The 17,304-nt window shown below is 39.9% G+C and overlaps 1 long non-coding RNA gene across 1 annotated transcript in view; it reads right to left on the bottom strand.

Moving 5' to 3' along the window:
* Positions 1–13,661: 13,661 nt before the first annotated feature.
* The window catches only part of LOC105374320 (uncharacterized), a 28,997-nt gene continuing 25,354 nt past the window's right edge, over positions 13,662–17,304 (bottom strand). Inside the window, exon 5 of the long non-coding RNA XR_939813.3 lies at positions 13,662–14,173. This is a non-coding gene — a long non-coding RNA (uncharacterized LOC105374320). The remainder of the gene's footprint in view (positions 14,174–17,304) is intronic.

Here is a 17,304-nt window from a genome sequence, read left to right as displayed (position 1 = left end):
GCATTTGTTATTATAAGTGCTAGAATATCATAACTTATTCTTCTTTGCACTAGTAAAAATATTTCTTTTTAAATAAGAAAATGATTTAATTTTTAGTGCAATAGGATATTGTTATGGAGTTGTATATAAAAAAACTAAAAAGAGGGATGCATAAGTCTATAAAATGGTCTGATTTTTCACACTGTTTTTCCAGTCATCGCTGCTTCTCAAGGACAAAGTGGAGGTGCAGCAGGCTGCCTGAATCTGGCTCAGGCCAAGCTGAAGCTGTGGTGAAAGGCTGCAGTTGCAGAAGTGCCTTGTGAATATCTATATCTATATATTAATAAGTATATGAAGTTTTAAATATGTAAAATTATTTAATTTAGACTACAAATATATTTAGAGCAGTGACTATGTACTTAATCCTGGGGATCAGAAGAAAACCAGAAAAAAAAGTCTGTGGTCAAACTTGCGTTGTAATGGGAAATAGACATTAAATAAATAATATAATTTCAAAAATTAATACTTGCTGTCAGAAATATAATGTGTGAAGAAAGGTGATTTTAGGTAAAGGAGGTTAGGAGACACCCAGGGGTAATATTTGAGAGGAGCTGTGAATGAAGGAGTGCAGGGAACGATGTGGCATCTGAGGGAAAACACAGTAGGTAAAAGGGAGAGCAAGAGAAAATGACCTAAAACTGGAATAACCTCAGTGCTTTGGAGAAACAGCAAGAAAAAGGTGATATGATTAGGCTTTGTGTACCCCCAACCAAATCTCACATTGAATTATAGTTTCCATAATCCCCACATGTCATGGAAAGGACCCGGTGGGAGGTAATTTAATCATAGGGATGGTTACCCCCATGCAGTTCTCATGGTAGAGAGTGAGTTCTCAAAAAATCTGATGGTTTTATAGGGGGCTTTTCCTCTTTGCTCAGCTCATTCTCTCTCCTGCTGCCATGTGAAGATGTGCCTTCCAGCATGATTGTAAGTTTCCTGAGGCCTCCCTAGCCATGTGGAACTCTGAGCCAATTAAACCTCTTTCCTTTATAAATTACCCAAATCTCAGGTATTTCTTCACAGCAGCGTGAGAACAGGCTAATATAGTAAATTGGTACCAGGAGTGGGGTGCTGCCATAAGGTGCCTGAAAATGTGGAAGTGACTTTGGAACTGGGTAACAGGCAGAAAGTAGAACAGTTTGCAGAGGCTCAAAAGAAGACAGGAAAATGTGGGAAAGTTTAGAACTTCCTAGAGACTTGGGGGGCTCAGGAGATAGGAAGATGTAGGAAAGTTTGGAACTTCCTAGACATTTGTTGAATGGCTTTGACCAAAATGTTGATAGTGATATGGACAATGAAGTCCAGGCTGAGGTGGTCTCAGATGGACATGAGGAATTTGTTGGGAACAAGAGCAAAGGTCACTCTTGTTATGCTTTAGCAAACAGACTAGCGGCATTTTGCTCCTGCCCTAGAAATCTATGGAACTTTGAAATTGAGAGAGATGATTTAGGGCATCTGATGGAAGAAATTTCTAAGCAGCAAAGCATTCAAGAGGTGTGAAGAGCACGAAAATGGAAAATTTACAGCCTTATTCAGTAGAAAAGAAAAACCCATTTTCTGGGGAGAAATTCAGTTGGCTGCAAAAATTTGTATATCTAATGAGCCAAATGCTAATCGCCAAGACAATGGGCACGATGTCTCCAGGCCATGTCATAGACCTTCAGGGAAGCCCCTCCCATCACAGGCCTGGAGGCCTAGGAGGGGAAATTGTTTTCCTGGGCCTGGTCCAGGCCCCCCACTGCTGTGTGCAGTCCTTGATGCCCTGCATCACAGGCACTCTAGCTGTGGCTAAAAGGAGTCAATATACAGCTCAGACCATTGCTTCAAAGGGTACAAGCCCCAAGCCTTGGCAGCTGCGACATGGTATTGATCCTGTGGGTGTGCAGAAGACTAGAATTAAGATTTGGCAACCTCCACCTAGATTTCAGAGGATGTATTGAAACACGTAGATATTCAGGCAGATGTCTGCTGCAGGGGTGAAGCCCTCATGGAGAATCTTTGTGAGGGCAGTGTGGAGGGAAATATGGGGTCCTAGCCTCCACACAGAGTCCCCAGTGGGACACTGCCTGGTGGAGCTGTGATTAGACAGCCACCATTCTCCAGACCCTAGAATGGTAGATCTACCAATAGCTCATACCATGCACTTGGAAATGCTGCAGACACTCCATGCCAGCTGTGAAAGCAGCTGGGAGTGGGGCTGTACCCTGCAAAGCTACAGAGGCAGAACTTCCCAAGGCCATAGGAGCCCACCTCTTACATCAGCATGACCTGGATGTGAAACCTGGAGTCAAAGGAAATCATTTCGGAACTTTAAGGTTTGATGACTGCCCTTTGAATTTTAGACTTGCATGGGGCCTGTAGCTCTTTTGTTTTGGCCATGTTTTCCCATTTGGAATAGCTGTATTTTCCCAATGCCTGTGCCCCCATTGTGTCTCAGAAGTAACTAACTTGCTTTTGATTTTATGGGCTCATAGGCAGAAGGGACTTGCCTTGTCTCCTATGAGACTTTGGTCTTAGACATTTGGGTTAATGCTAGAATGAGATAAGATTTGGGGGGACTGTTGGAAAGGCATAATTGTGTCTTGAAATACTAGGACATGAGATTTGGAAGGGGCCATGGATGGAATGATGTGGTTAGGCTTTGTGTCCCCACCCATATCTCATCTTGAATTTTAGTTCCCATAATCCCCTTGTATGGTAAGGACCCAATGGAGGTAATTGAATCATTGGGGCAGTTACCTCCATGCTGTTCTCATAATAATGAGTTCTCACAAGATCTGATAGTTTTATAAGGGGCTTTTTCCTCTTTGCTCAACTCATTCTCTCTCCTGCCGCCCTGTGAAGAGGTGCCTTCCACCATGATTGTAAGTTTCCTGAGTCATCCACAGCTATGCAGAACTATGAGTCAATTAAACTCTTTCCTTTATAAGTTACCCAGTCTCAGGTATTTCTTCATAGCAGCATGAGAATGGACTAATACAGAAGGCTCCTGGAGCTGGAGAAGAATAAGTACAGTGAAAAGTAAAGAGATAAGGTGTATGAATAGGAAAAGGCAAACTCATGGGAGCCCTTGTAGGCACAGAATTAGGAGTTTATAATGGATTCTGAATGTGATAGGAAGCCATGGGGTCTTACAAAGGACAATTGTAGTTACTGATACATGAAGTGATAACTGTGTTGGGTGTGAAAGGGAGCAAGAGTGGAGTAGAAGAGAAGTTTGCTGGCATTTTTGAGGATTAGGCTTGAACTAAAGTAGTAGTTATACAGGAGGGAAGACAAAAATTTAGGATGTATTACGAACGTGAACTTGAAAATAAATGGGAAGTGGTAAGTGAGAGAAATAAAGAATCTAAAGACAATTCAGTGATTTTTAACCAAGCAACTGCAAAAATTACATTATCACTTAATGATATGGGGAACATGGGAGAAAAAGTTGGGTATTGTGAGTACATGGGAGGGGCATTGATTAAGATCTCTAGGAGGAGGTTGTGGCATTTGAGACATCCTCATGGAAATGTGAATTTCACAATTGGAGTGCAGGGAAGGTTAGGAAAAACTTGGAAATCATCAGAATATAGATGGTCTTGAAAGCCATGGGATTTGATGAAATAATCTAGGGAGTGTAGAAAAAGAATTTCAAGGACTGAGATTTGAGACAATCACAGAAGAATTGTTTCATTTATAAAGTCAGCCAGGTTTAATCAAGCCTTCCAAACACCTTTGGGATTTGTGTGCTGTGTATCCTCAGAGTGCCCTTCTTTACTCTCTTCTTTCCCAATCTTAACACCAGGAGGCTGACATTGAAGGAATGGTTGAACTAGAGCCTCCTTGCTCTCCTGCTTCTGTTTTGAATTGTTTTGAATTAACCATTAGGAGGAACCAGCATGAGGTTGGAGAGCAAGAGGAGAAAAGTATTGGGATTTATTTCCCCTTTTATTTTTACCTAAAATCTTGGGATTTATTTCCCCTACTCCCTTAATAAAGGGCTGTTGTCTATGGTGAATGTCTATTCAGAACTAGAAGAACTAGAAGTAACTTTATATTTCCCATATGCTTGTTATGATATTAATCCCATGCAATGCAACAGGCATGTGTGAAAACACTTTCAAAAATCAGATCTACCATTTTTCCCTGCCTGAAAGTTGAAGGGGAGGAATAAATGTGGCTTTCTCACTAGCCTAACAGCTTTATATCAGCAGTCCCTAATCTTTTTGGCACCAGGGACTGGTTTCCTGTAAGGATATTTTCATAGACCAGGGCAGCGGGGCATGGTGGTTTTGAGAAAATTTAAGCACATTGCATTTATTGTGCACTTTATTTCTATTATTATTACATTGTAGTATGTAATGAAATACTTATACAACTCACCATAATGTAGAATAAGCATGAGCCCTGAGCTTGTTTTCCTGCAACTAGACAGTCCCATCTGGGGGTGATGGGAGACAGCGAGAGATCATCAGGCATTAGATTCTCGTAAGGATTGTGCAACCTAGATCCCTCGCATGTACAGTTCACAATAGAGTCTGGACTTCTCTGAGAATCTAATGCCACCACTGATTTGACAGGTGGTAGTGCTGAGGCAGTAATGTGAGCAATGGGAAGTGGCTGTAAATGTAGATGAAGCTTTGCTCCCTTGCCATTCACCTCCTGCTGTGCAGACCTGGTTCCTAAAAGGATACAGACTAGTATGGACTTGTGGCCCAGGGACTGGGGACCCTGGCTCTATATTCTCTGATGCTTAGTATATGTGATGCAAGAATGACTGGGTGTTTTTAGTATTTTCCAGAAGCCCAGAGGTAATACTGTGTGGATGAAAAAACAAATGAGACCAGGGACCCGGGTGGAGCAATTCCCAGGAAAGAGAGAAGAAAAGATGGGGGAAATAATATCTCCTTGAAAACATCTCACTGAAGGAATTAGTCTGTGGAGGGGGAAATGACTCAGGGTGATAACACAGTCTATCTTGATTAACTTGGGCTTCTACCTACTACCAGATTCTTCAGTGTCTTACAGGAAAATATCACTAGAATTTGTTTTATTTTGAATCGGTTATGTAAGATAAAAACACTCTAAGGTCATGGACTCGGATTTCTTCTGCTGTCTATAATGTTTAAACAATCTTCCATGTTCATGTGGTAGGTAAGAAGTGTTATCTGAACTGATAAAACCAGTTAAAGCAAGAGAACCTCCAGAGGGAAGAAATAGTCTCCTTCCTGTCTAGTCTCATACACTGTCCTCCTGACAGGGTGATGCAAACTTGACCAAGTGGGAAAGTGTCATAGATATTTCCTTCTGTGTTATACATTAAATCTTGTGCTGGAATAGCTTTGCACCTCTCGAATATCCAGTGATAGTGATAGTGATAGTGATCGACACCATTTCTGGGAGTGCTGAAGTATCGCTGATCCAACCACTAATGCATTCATGCTGATGGGCCCTGGACTTCAGGGCAGAAGCTCTCCAAAGCTACACTGACTTCACTCTACTTCCTGACAGCTCCAAGGGGTGGTACTAAATGGACCCATACTTAATTTCACATGACAATTATCCAGCCACATTTATTTTGGTCAGAAGCTGATGTTCTTATTCACCATGGCTGTGTTAAATTTTCAATATCATAGAAGACGCTTTCTGGCTGAATGCAGGATTGATGTTGAATTTTTGAAGTTAAATCAGTTAGCAAAATAGATGCTCAGAAAGACTGTAAAAACTGGATGTATTGTCAGCTACATGTTTGCTCCAGGCCATCTCTCAGAGATGTTACTGTCTAGTAAAGTGAGTGAGGTGACATTGACCTGTGTATAAAATCCCTTTTATAGAAGTTTTGGCATATATAGTATCTGCATTAACCTGGCAGGTCTTTGTTTACCTGTAATATATCTGTGTTGAATATCCAATCTGTGCTAAACCATGAGGATTATTATTTTAACTTAAATTTCTATTTGATTAAAGCATTAGCCAAAACAGCTGCTGGCCCATCAGAGAAACAGAGTGAAGGTGCCAGGGTTGGATTTGAGTTCTGCCTCTTCCATTGACTGGCAATGAAGCTTGGTCAAATGACCCCACCGTCTTCATATATCAACATGATTATAACAACAATATGTGTTACTTACAAAAATTCCTGCTATTGTGAATATTAAATGACGTAGTTCATGGGAGAATACTTTTTAAGTACTTTTTTAGAAATGATGAACTTTATATATTTTTTAAAAACATGAAGACAGTAACATTTTAGATAAGACATTTGACCACAGAATACCAGAAGGCCTCTTTTGTACAATATTCAGAACAGAGTAATATGTAAATAGAGGGGAGTTAAAGGAATTTGATGTTGATGAACTAGAGAAAATAAACACACCTTTTTGTGGCAACAGCTGGATAGAAGGAATTTAATTTTTCCTCACATTCCAAGATTCAGTAAGAATTCAGCAGGGGAGAGGCTACTTACACCAGCCTCATATTTTGAGGTCAGCAAAGAGGGAATTTAAGACATCTTTTTTTAAGTTTGATATTTAATCTGACAGAAATGTTACAAGATGGGCAACTTTTATGTTGCCTTTGTGTCTCTACTGGATGATGGTGGCCTTATGGGCAGGGATCATTTCATCTCTCCTAAAGCAAAGAGCACAGAAGAACACACAGTTAGGTGTTTGGTAACAGCCGGTTAATGAACTTGCTTGCTTCATTTCCATTTCAACCCTAAATAGAATGTAAAATGCCATTTTATGCTTGAAACATAGCAGCACAAATATTTTTATGGATTTAGTTCAATGTATCTCATGAAATGACAGCCAAGTAAATTGCTTGAAGGACACCCTCCCATAGCGTGACAGTGGCTCTGTCCTGCTTTGTTCAGCTCACGTTAGCACAGACCTCATTCTCCAGCACCTACATTTATGAAAGATGGATGAAATAACTCCTAGTGCTTTCACCCAATCCTAAAATTGCTGCTGCACTACACAATAACTGTCTAGAGTTGCTTATTCCTTTTCTTCTATTAATAATACATTAAACCTCCGTTTAAAAAAAAAACTCAGAGAAGAAAAGGGAAAAGAAGATGATAATGACTTCTTGACAGATCTTGAATGAAAGGCTTTAATACAGCTTTAACTGAGCTTGACACACCATTTTTAATGTGCAAGTTCCTTCTGTTTCCCAATCTCTTCATACTTAATTGAGAAGTCCCACTTAGGGATGAGCGAAGAGTCTAATGAATCTCTTCTCCAAAATCATTAATTCAAAATATCTGATGTTGCTTATGCATTTTTTTGGTGATAACGACTCTCCCTGTTGATGTCTGCATAGAAATGGACTGAATAACCATGTTTTGCGAATAGAACCCAGGCTGTTCAAATTGGAACTGTGTTTTATTAATCACAGTTCTTAAAGATATTGAACATTGGAGGGGTAGATCAGGAAATAAATAATACATACTTTTGAAAAGTCCCTGAGATGAGTAGCTGTTCTCTTTATAAATATTACAAACCTCACATAATCCCTTAGGTAAAGACACAATATTCAACATACATAATGATGAACAACAACAAAACAGCATTTTAATTGGAACCACAGTAGCCCTGACTACGGTCTGCTCATCTTGTTAATTCATATCCCCTTGAGTTGTGTGAACTAGGCGATTAGTAGCCCCAAATAATAGATCATTATCCTGAGATAAAACAATCGACCCACATTTGGTCACTGTCAGTGATTAATGATATAAAACAGAGATAAGCCTTATGCATGGAGGATTTGGGTATCATTTTAGGATCATGTCTAATACTTGCTGCACATCTAACCTAACATTTAAACTTATTTTGGGCATACATGGTTGTGTAGGCTTGTTAATCATTTACCTATAAAAATAAAAACTAGGTATTTCTGAAATTTGGAAAATATTTTGTATTGCATTTATTCTTTAGTTAGAATTATGGCATACATTAGCACTGTAAAATTAATTGCTCTAATTAGCAAGTGTCATCAGTGACAAACTAACATAGAACATTTTATTTGCTGCAGCTGTCATTAATATAAAAAAAAAAGTGAAGGAAAAAGATTTTTAATTAGTCATGTATGAGCCAATCGGGTCATATTGGAGTAGCCAACATCCCTTTTCCTCTGACTTTTGAATCCAGTTACAGATATCAGGGATTAGCACTGGGGTACCTCAAGTCCCTGGAAGCCCCTCACATCTCAGCTGCTCTTATACGGCTGCTACTTTCCCACTGATTACCCACTACTTCTATAGCTAATTATCTGTTAGCATATTTCAAGCTTGTCTTTTCAAGCAGAAATGTGGCTGGAAACTGTCTTATTTATCTCTGACCCAAATCTGAGCCTGGGCTAGTGTCTTTATACAATCATAGGTTCAGAAAAAAGACATGTTGATTGATTGATTGGTATTTGAGCAGTAAATCAATTTCAGAACATGGCTTCTTTTTTAACTTATTCTCTGCAAAGTCAAAAAAAGCCACATCTGCTTGAGTAAAAAGGATGCGTCATATATTTTCAATTCCTAACCTTGTTCAGATGGCAATAAAAGCAAATAGCCTTATATCTTTCTCTTGTAGATACTCATGAGAAGACATATTTTGCTTCATTTTACTAAACATTTTCAGCACCTATGATCAAGTCACTGAGGATGAAAAAATATGAGGGCACTGTCATCATGGTACAATTTTGGAGAAAACAGATGTTGATACATGATAGAATGGAAACAGATATAAGATAGAATTAAAGGAATTTTAAATAAATTCACGATATACTATTATCTGAAATTTAGGGTTGTTACACACTTTGTTGAACACACAAAGCTCCTTGAGTACAAGATCTATGTTTCTGTTTTCTGTTATATCCCCATTACTAGCAAGTCCTACAAAGAAACTCATATTATTGAATATTTATCAATAAAGGAATGCTCAAGAAATAATTTTATTCTGATATTTTTCCTCTAGTTTTACAAGCCAGTGACTAGCACATACAGCCAAACTATATGGCAGGATTAACAGTTATATTCGTATTTTTCTTCTCATTGTGTGACTGGTGCTGGAGTGAGAATAATACATGGAGGTCAAGAGGCAAATGTTCTCCTACAAATTGCTTAGCCCGTTCAAAATGAATACGGTATTTAGAAAAGGAAGAAGTCAATTCAGCAATTTAATGGTACTCTGAATATTTTATGTCTTCAAATACTTTATTTTCACATAAATTGAGAGTTCCACAAAAGTAAAAATATCAACGTGTGTTGAATGAGTGGTTAAAAAATGGACATCCCATTTTGTGTATTACAGCCAACGATAGCAATAGGCTTGTAATGATTGCAATTCATGGACTTTTGTTTAATTTCCTGTTAAATTTGCATATTTGTCTTGCTCTTTTATGGGGGAAGGAGAAAGAGAGGTGTGTGTGGGTTTTTATGAAACCAGTCATGTTTCCCTGTTTACTAAGGTTGTTCCTACACCACCATTTCCAAGCACTTCATGTTGAGTATTGTGTATGATATGGTTAAAATTATTCTCCCATCCAGTGTGTGTGTCTGTACATGTATGTGTTTATGTGAATGTGATTTAAGGTACATAAAAATCCTTCCCAGGAACTAGGCCAGAAGAATTGAGAGCTAGGTCAGGCCTCTGGAAGGTATGCTGTTTCACAGTGAGTAAAACTCTACGTAGGTAACAACACTAAATGGATCCCCAGTGATTTGCCCTTTTAGAAAGTGAGTGCTCTCTGAGAATCAGCAAAATCATCCCTGAGTCTTTTGTTAAACTCTTCTTGAATTGTGATTAAAGTGCTTGATTTGGTGTATGAGTGTGATTTTGCGTGGTATGTGCATTGTGCCAAAAAAAACCAGATGATCTGGGCAGTTCCTCGTCTCCCTTGCATTGTGACTTGTTATGTTCTGCCACTTCAGACAACACGCACGTTCTCTCCCACCTCACAAAACCCTTTTTCATCTTCAGGATGAATTTTCTCTGGTACCTCCTCAGCAAAGAGGTCAGAGAATGGAACCCTGACCTTGTGTGGATTCATGAATATGCAGTATCCAGGCATCTTAAAAGAAAAAAAAAACAATTTTCTGCTGACCATGGCATTGCAGTTAGCATAGTGGGCAAGTTATAAAACCTCCTCGTATCTCAGTTTACTGAGGTATAAAATGATGCCAATGATGTACCTCCCTTCCATGATTGTTGTAAAGATTAAATGAGTAGTAAAAAGCCTAAGGTAAGTTCTGAGAACACTCCCTGATCAATAAGTACCATCTAGAATATCTAAGCTATGCTGTTGATACTGCCAACTGAGATTCTGGTTTGTAGGAGTTTGTAGGAGACTGATATGGTTTGGCTCTGTGTCCCCACCCAAATCTCATCTTGAATTGTACTCCCATAATTCCCACCTGTTGTGGGAGGGACCCAGTGGGAATACTTTGAATCAGGGGTACAGTTTCCCCCATACTGTTCTTGTGGTAGTGAACAGGTCTTATGAGATCTGATGGTTTATCAGGGGTTTCTACTTTTGTATCTTCCTTCTTTTTCTCTTTGCCACCACCATGTAAGAAGTGCCTTTCACCTCCCACCATGATTCTGAGGCCTCCCAGCCACATGGAACTGTAAGTCAAATTAAACCTCTTTTTCTTCCCAGTCTTAGGCATGTCTTTATCGGCAGCATGAAAACGGACTAGTACAGTAAATTGGTACCAGTAGAGTGAGGTGTTGCTGAAAAAATACCCCAAACTGTGGAAGTGACTTTGGAACTGGGTAGTAGGCAAAGCTTGGAAGAGTTTCCTGTCAGAAGATGACAGGAAAATGTGGGAAAGTTTGGAACCTTCTAGAAATTTGTTGAATGGCTTTGACAAAAATGCTGATAGTGATATGAACAATAAGGTCCAACCTGAGGTGGTCTCAGATGGAGATGAGGAACTTGTTGAGAACTGGCGCAAAGGTGACTCTTGTTATGTTTTATCAAAGAGAATGGAAGTGTTTTGCCCCTTCCACAAAGATTTGTGAAACTCTGAACATAAGAGAGATGATTCAGAGTATCTGGTAGAAGAAATTTTTAAGCAGAAAAGTATTCAGGAGGCGACTTGGGTGTTGTTAAAAGCATTCCATTTTAAAAGGGAAACAGAGCATGAAAGTTTGGAAAACTTGCAGCCTGATAATGCAGTAGGAAAGAAAAACCCATTTTTTGAGGATAAATTCAAGCTGGCTGCAGAAATTTGCCTACATAACAGGGATCCAAATGTTAATCCCCAAGACAATGGGGAAAATGTCTCCAGGACATGTCACAGGTCTTCATGGCAGGCCCTCCCATCACAGACTCCAAAGCCTAGGAGGAAAAAATGGTTTTGTGGGCCAGGCTCTGTGTCCCAGTGCCGTGTGAAGCCTAGGAACTTGGTACTCTGTGTCCCAGCCACTCCAGCTGTTGCTAAAAGGTGCCAAGGTACAGCACTGGCCATGGTTTCAGAGGGTGCAAGCCCCAAATCTTGGCAGTTTCCATGTGTGTTGAGCCTGCAGGTTCACAGAAGTCAAAAATTGAGCTTTAGGAACCTCCACCTAGATTTCAGAAGATGTATGGAAACGCCTGGATGCCCAGACATAAGTTTGCTGCAGGGGCGGGGCCCTCTTGGAGAACCTCTGCTAGGGCAGTATGGAAGGGAAATGTGGGATCTGAGCCCCCACACCAATTCCCTACTGGGACACCATCTAGTGGAGCTGTGAGAAGAGGGCCACCTTTCTCCAGACCCCAGAATGGTAGACCCACCCACAGCTTGCCCCATGCACCTGGAAAAGCCACAGTCACTCAACCCCAGCCTGTGAAAACTGCCAGGACGGGGGCTATACCCTGCAAAGCCACGGGGGTGGGGCAGAGCTGCCCAAGACTATGGCAACTTACCTCTTGCATCAGTGTGACCTGGATGTGAAACATAGAGTCAAAGGAGATCATTTTGGAACTTTAAAATTTGACTGCCCCACTGGATTTCAGACTCACATATGCCCTCTAACCCCTTTTCTTTGGTCAATTTCTCCCATTTGAAATGGCTGTATTTACCCAATTCCTGTACCCCCATTATATCTAGGAAGTAACTAGCTTGCTTTTGGTTTTACAGGCTCATAGGCAGAAGGGACTTGCCTTGTCTCAGATGAGACTAGACCATGGACTTTTGGGTTAATGCTGAAATGAGTTAAGATTTTGGAGGACTGTTGGGAAGGCATGATTGGTTTTGAAATGTGGGGACATGAGATTTGAAGGGGCCAGGGGTGGAATGATATGGTTTGGCTCTATGTCCCTACCCATATCTCATCTTGAATTGTACTCCAAGAATTTCTACATGTTGTGGGAGGGACCCAGAGGGAGATAATTTGAATCATGGGGGTGGCTTCCCCCATACTGTTCTTGTGCTAGTGAATAAGCCTCACGAGATCTGATGGTTTTATCAGGGGTTTCCTCTTTTGCATCTTCCTCCTTGTTCTCTTGCCACTGCCACATAAGAAGTGCCTTTCACCTCTCGCCAATGATTCTGAGGCCTCCCCAGCTATGTGGAACTGTAAGTTCAATTGACCTTCTTTTTCTTCCCAGGCATGTCTTTATCAGCAGTATGAAAATGGGCTAATACAGAGACCCACTGTATCATTATAGTAATGGTGACTGAGAAATCCCTGAATCCACGAAGACCCCTAGGAGCTTGACAAGTGCTTACCTGGATCCTGCTTTAGTAAGCAGTATCACTCTCTTCTCTAAGGTCATCTACCGCATGAATGTGTTTCTTCTTGAAGCCTTTTCTGACCACTTGAGCCAACATTGATCTTCTTTCTCCCACTCTGTAATGCAGACAATGTGCACAACACAGCTTACCATATGATGTCTTAATTGTTGGGGTGCTTCTGTCCTGCTGGCATGCCTAGGTGATGAGGTTCAGCCAGTTGTTTTGTTATATTTGCCTGAACTCTTTTTAACCTTGTGACTCATCCACACAGGGTGGAGTAAGACTTGTTAAAGTAGTATTTGAAGATATGTGTGTGTTTGGGGTGGGGGGTATTGGAGTGAGGATATCAACTCTCTTTACCAATCCGGGCATAATAATTTGACTATGATTGCACCATGTTATTCTCCTTACCCTAAAATATATATTCAGTAATCATTTCAGGGGTTCTCAGAACTGTATATAAGAGCAATAAATATTCATATAACAATGGCTAAACCCAATTTGTAGAAATAACTCTACATAGCTTAATTTTTTAAATTTTTTTTTTCTGGGACAGAGTCTTGCTCTGTCACCCAGGCTGTAATGCAGTGGCATGATCTTGGCTCACTGCAACCCCCGCCTCCCAGGTTCAAGCAATTCTCCTGCCTCAGCATCCCAAGTAGCTGGGATTACAGGCGCCTGCCACCACACCCGGCTAATTTTTGTATTTTTAGTAGAGACGGGGTTTCACCATGTTGGCCAGGCTGTTCTCAAATTCCTGACCTAGTGATCTGCCCGCCGCAGCTCTACATAGTCTTCTAACTTAATCAATTATGTATTTAGCAAACTATAAAGTGTGCATAGATACTTCTTTCATTGTTAAAGCACTGCAGAGACTTTCAAACAATTTTATTTTATTTTTGATATATTATTTCTTATTTTACCAACATGCCTCTTTCTTCTAACAAAATCTTACACTGAGAACCAAGTACACGAACAGAAATGAGAAGAGGAGGAGTATGTGTGAAAGAGAGATTGGTGATAGCATCTCTATCTAAAGACAGAACATTGGGTGGTAGTCCTAAGGCTCCTCAGACATCCCCTCTCCACCTCCGAGCCCCTTTTGTAGGTATTTAGAGATCAGTGGCATCTATTGACTTCAAGGAAAATGAGTTGTGGAATGAGACAGGTCTGAGTTCAAATCTTGGTTCTGCTATGTATCCGCAATAAAATTATGAGCTAGTCTTTTGACATCTATGAGCTACAAAATAAGATAATATTCTAGTTATGATTATCTTTAAAGGGCTGTAAGAATTATCAGATATGTGGTCCAGAATATAGTATGTCTTCTTATAAGGTAGATGCTATTATTCTCTTCCGTGTTTCATGCCACAGGCACCTGATATCAGTCTGTGTCAGAATAACTGCTCTCTTAGATAACACGATTTTTCTTGGGTCCTAATGGAGAAAACAGAAATAGATCCATCACCATTTACACCTGATATTCATTGTTCCCAAGTCCCCAACTGCTTTACTACAAAATCCAAGCTTTTATAAGGTTACCTCCCCACAAGACTTTCAAGTATTCTCCAAAGCAAAGATGTGCCCTCTGGTTATTATCCACTGCTGTAACTTAAGCTTCATATCTTAAGCGGACTTCCAAAGTACTGCTGTGGGTTTGTACCTCACATTATTTTTGTACTTTCACATTTCCCAAAAAATATCCTAAGTTGATAATGAAGACACACTACAAATGAACACTGGTATAAGATAAAACTTTGACTACCCAGGCAAAGGGGAAAAAAATAGTCTTTCATTATTACTTGTAGCTAGGGTTCCGTAGAAGAGTTGCCTCAACTGAAGAGAATTGTAGTGGTGGCATGGTGTTCATGTCTGATGATCCCAGCAAGCTAGGGACACCAAGTCATGCTGGGGACACTCAGGTAGGTCAGAATTCTGCATTCCTCATCATTGCTGCCTCTAGACACCCACATGCCCTGCCACACTTCATTATAGCACTGATTTCAGGAAGTGAGTAGAATAGTGTGTTTTGGCTAAGCTCAGATGTGAATCAGAGCAAAGTTCCTTGCACTCCAAAGTATCACAGCATTAAGAAACACAGCTTTTCCAATGGCCACACCTAGCTCCCTCCTCCTGGGTACACACAGCCCACTGAAGAGATCAGAATAAGTTCTAGTATGAGGTAATAAATGTACAATGCATGGCTTTGTTACTCAGTTTGGCCCAAGAGATTTGGTCTTCCTGACTTCCTTGGTAACGAGTTTCCTTTTGGGACCTGCATTGTTGCTCCCTGAAATCTGGTCCCTGGTGCCCCGTGGTGCCCCCAGATAACCTCAATCGATGGTATAAATGATTTAAGTGGCATAGTCCTACTTCACTTGTCAGAAGTATCTGAGCTTAGATTTTGCCCAGCCAAGATACCATTTTATATAATAGATCTGAGTGGATATATATACCAATTGTGGATAATTCTCAATCTCTATATGCATGTGGTCAAAATTTACCCTTTAAACATAAGATGCTTCACCTATGATGTTCACTTTTTTACTGTTACACAGATTCATGCAAAAACTATGTGATAATATTCATAGGTATATGTACATTAAACACAAACTATATCTTTAAGTGTATTTACATTTTCACCCTCAAAACAATCCTATAATGGAAACACTTTGATTATGAGTACAGTATAGATAAGGAAACCTGAGACTGGAAAAAGGTAAGAAACATGTCCACAGTCACAATGTCATGGCAAGCCTGGGATTTAATCCCTGGTCTTTTTCTAAAAGACTATCAATGTGCAATAAATTAATTACTACATAAAGGTGACTTCTTTTTTGTAGTTGCATTATTAGTGTTTGTAAATTTTTTTTATGATGGTTGCTTCTAAGGCATTCTTTGATTTCACATTCATAGAAAATACAATGACATGTAAATGCATTGGAAATACAAAGAACGTAAGTGCAGATTCATAAATGCTCATCACTTTTAAACTTTAGTGTGTATCAGAATCCCCTGGAGGGCTTGCTAAAATACAGAAAACTGGGCTCCATCCTGAGTTTCTGATTCACGTTGTCTGGGGTGGGGCCTAAGAATTTGTATTTCTAACAAGTTCCAAAGTGATGCTGATATTGCTGGTCCCAGGACCACACCTTGTGAATCATTTCTCAATACTAAATGGAAAATCAGTCACTGTTATGATGTGAGCCTTATCATTGTTCAATAATTTTCATAAATACAGCATACTTTAAAAACAGTGGTTTTTATGCTCACTGTTACACAATACATGAGCTCTGAGCAGAATGCACAGCAAATGCTCATTTAGGACTCAGGAATGGATGACCACTTTATATCTGACTCTCAAGTATGCATTGTCTGGAATTACCACTGCATCAGGTGAGGCTCCCCATCCCACTCTCTTAGGTCGCTAGCTGAAAGGGAATTTGGGATGGACCACAAATTGATTACCTCCTCTCTCCTGTTGCCTTCCATAGTCCTAAATGGAAGTTTTTGTACCTTTGGACCTATTCGTGTGCCTGGAGCTCTCCCAGGAGGGAAAAGAGAAGGAGATTAGTCAACAAAGAGCTGTAGCTCCAGGTTCCTCCCCTAGAAACCCACAGAATTTTGCCCTTTCTCTGGTTTGCAGAGGAGAAAGGGTAGGCAGAAAGCCATCCTGTGCCCAGTAGTCCATCCTATTTCCATTGGGCCCTTGTCTTCTGACTGCAATTTGCACCTTACCCAGGTGTGAAAACCTTTCCTGGGGCATGGAAGATGCAAGCCCCTCTGTCAGCAGCAGGTTGAAGCCACTGTCCTCCTTGTTACTGAGAAAGTGAGTCTCTAGCTCGGCCTCTGATTTCCCTCAGACACTTGAACTATTCATACTCTATTAGACACATATGAAGGAAGGAAATTGGACTTTCTCAGGTTTCAGATATATCAGCAGGGATGTATGACTGAAAATTAATTCCCTGACACAGACTGATGAAGCCGGCGGTTTCCTCAAATACTGGGATATATTTTATATTTTTCATAACACATGATCTCAGTGTTACATGTCTTCCCTAGTTCAAAATGCTGATGTTTTGACAATGGGACACAGAATCTTCCATTTTTATAAACAACTTTCTTGTTAATTAGTCAAAATATCAAGAAATTGGTCAGTTTGTATAGTAATGAAAAACTCTAATAAAAATCTGCATATCTTCTAATGAGTGCAGAATGTCATTTAGCTATAAAGGACCAGATGAACTAATGCACTGTTAGATCTGGAGTTTGGCAATAACTGAAAACAAAACATCTCTTCTCTTAGTGTGTTTTTTTTTTTTTTTTTTTAATTCCCAAGGTCTGCTTTTTTCACGTGATATTTTTTCGTCTCTCCTAGCAGTACTAGTTTAAGTACTGCTAGTCATACAAGCTTCACTCATGAGGTATTGGTGAATATATTCTTAAACCAACTTTGTTTATTTTTACATATGATATTATATCATTTTCATTTGATGTGTATTCATTTTAGTTTACTATACTAAAGTCTCATATGTAAGCTCTGGAGGTTGCATTTTAAATGTCCC

Source organism: Homo sapiens, chromosome 2 (assembly GCF_000001405.40).
Source record: "Homo sapiens chromosome 2, GRCh38.p14 Primary Assembly".
In the NCBI taxonomy this organism is placed as follows: domain Eukaryota; kingdom Metazoa; phylum Chordata; class Mammalia; order Primates; family Hominidae; genus Homo; species Homo sapiens.
Note: the sequence above shows the minus strand (reverse complement) of the source record. Positions and strands in the feature narration are given on the sequence as shown.